The sequence below is a fragment of the Homo sapiens genome, chromosome 1 (assembly GCF_000001405.40).
Source record: "Homo sapiens chromosome 1, GRCh38.p14 Primary Assembly".
Lineage (NCBI taxonomy): Eukaryota > Metazoa > Chordata > Mammalia > Primates > Hominidae > Homo > Homo sapiens.
In genome coordinates, this window is record NC_000001.11 from 30,080,904 (window position 1) to 30,083,566 (window position 2,663).

Here is a 2,663-nt window from a genome sequence, read left to right on the forward strand (position 1 = left end):
TTTTGTCGCCACATGGGTTCCCACTTTCAGATAAATATTGCATTTTTCTTCCTAAGAAAAATTCTGATGGATGTAAATTTCTTCCTCATGTTCCACAGGTATCCCTGTTTTACAGATGAAGAAACACAGACACAGAAGTCACAGCCAGGGAGAGATTTTGGCAGCAGAAGCTCTATCTGGGGTGTAGCAGTTGAGCCCTCAGTTTCTGCTCAGACGGACCTGGGTCTGATCCCAGCTCCACCACGGGCCAGCTGTGATGGCACCCCCATCACAGGCCATTTGAAGAGTAAATGAGGTGACACATCTTAGGTGCTAGCAAAGTCCCGGCACATAGTAAATGCTCAAGTAAATGCAGCTGCTGTTGTTCTTATTGGCATGCTGACTGCACCTGCAGAGACTGCCTCTGCCCGGGCCCCACCCGCAGACTTTCCTCTCTTTCCTTTCCCTAACATCCGATTCCTATTCCTTTCTGTTTCTATGACCAGATTAAAAGTCACTCCCCTATTTAAAATCCTGCCTGTCAGTCTGGTGAAAAATGTGGAAATGGAATTTAGGAATTAGACAGGTTTGAATGCAAATCTGTTTTCTCCCTTCATTAGCTGGAAGTCCTTAGACAAGTCCCTTAACCAAGCCTCAGTTGACTCACCTGCATAATGAAGACAGCACTCTGCAGCCTGCGGCTTATGGTAAAAACCAAATGAAACAACAGGTGAGAAAAGGGCTTTGCAAATGGCAAATGGCAAACCACTGCTCAAATGCTGGCTTGTTTTCCTTCTCATTTTCGGTGTCCCTTGGTAACCTGAGTGTTTAACCTGTGTTTTCTTTCTTTGGTTTAATGAAGGCCCACTGTGAAGAAATAGCCATGTTGGGGGATAGATCCACCAACCAAGCCTGGAGTTAGGTCCACAGTTCTGAGCTTGAGTCAAGCTCCCCGACAATGCTGTGTGCTCTGGGCCCTGCAGACCTCTGGGCTGCTACTGGCCTTTCTGCCTCTCTGCTCCTCCCTCCCTCTGCTCCCCCACACAGCTCTGCAGCAGCCTCCAAACACCTCTGGCTCTGCTGCTTCTACCCGGAACGCCCCTCCCTCCTCTTGTTCCTCCTCCTCTCTCTCAGGGAAGCCCTCCCTGACCCCAAGACCCAGGCACACACTACACAATTCGCAAAGAATGAGTAGCTTCTCTCCCAGCTTATTTTGTGACTTCCATGAGTTTGGGGACTGTGTCTGTCTGACTTACACTTGTGTCCAGAGTTCTGCATAATGCCTGGCAGAACTCTATCCACTCAACATTGTTCATAAAATCTCTACCCACTCAGTATTGTTCATGGAATCTCTATCCACTCAGTATCATTGGCCACATCACAGCCTTGCTGTGAGACACTAGGCTTGTGTCTATTCCTCTCTGGAACAGAGTTTCCCCCGGCAGTGTAATGAAGGAGCTGGGTTCAATGGCCTCCAGCATCCTCCACTGCTACTCCCCTTCGCTTTGAAGGCAGCTCCTGGACGGTGGAGACAGCTACTGCCAACAGTCTGCTGATGTCAGCAGGACAGGCTTCAGGTGCCCCTGCCTCCCATTCCCTCCTTATAAATAGCTCTACCTGAAAGCACTGGGGTCACTCACCCCTGGGGACAGCCACAGGTAGCCAATTACTCTCAGTGCCTGGAGGGCTGATGGGGAGGGGGTTTCAGGTTTGAGTGGGAACCTTGGCCCTGGAAAGAATCCACTGGCTCGTCTGGGAGAGAAAAATGGAAGGTCATTTCGGTGTCTGCACCAGGCGGGGCCCGTAGCCACCAAACAATCATCTGTGGCCTGAGAGTGGAAGTAGTAGATGGCTCTGTGATTCCAATTATCCTCGGATCATTCAAATGACTATTGGAATGGAGAGCCAGACTGTCCTGTTTGGATAGTGATGTGTGCAGTGACCCCCACCCCACCCCACCACACCACCCACGAGCTATCTCCTCTCCAAGCTCCAGACTGGTCACTGCAGGGCGGCCCCAGGGACTCCCTAAGCTCCCAGCTCCCCATAGGTCTGCTGAGCACGTAGGCCTGAGTTGGTGGGCTCTGGTGGGTGCTCAGTCCATTTGATTGTAGAAGGTCTGGGTGGCAGAAGATCCTACTAGGGCTATGGGGAAAAATCAGGTTCTACTCCAGGGGACCTCAGGCAATCAACCTGAACTCGCCCAGTGCCAGCTTTGTGACTTTGTGATTTTGTCCCACTGAGATGGGAGAATGATAATGTGCACCTGGTAGGTCGGAAGTGAGGGCTATGTAAGGTAATGCCGTGAAATGGCTTGGTGCTTGGCACATGGAGGCCTTCTGTGAGCGGATTAGCTGGTGCTGTGGTGCAGCTATAGGAAGCAACTCAAACTGGCTTAAGCAGAACACAAGGGACATCTCCTGGAACCCCAGGATGACAAGGCAGCCAGCCTCAGAAGGAGACAGGCCCAGGACACAGCAGACCCGGCTTCTCCTTTCTCCATCTGCAGGACAGAAGATAGTGGCCTTCAGGTCCTGAGCATGAATGTCTCCTCCATCTGACAGAACAGCCCAGATAGAACCAGATTCTCTCAGTCCCAGATTTCTGGCAAAGGGACTCCACTTGGTCTGACTTGGATCTGTTTTCTGATTGTCTACTCTGGCTCACTTGCTCTTCTCTAGAAG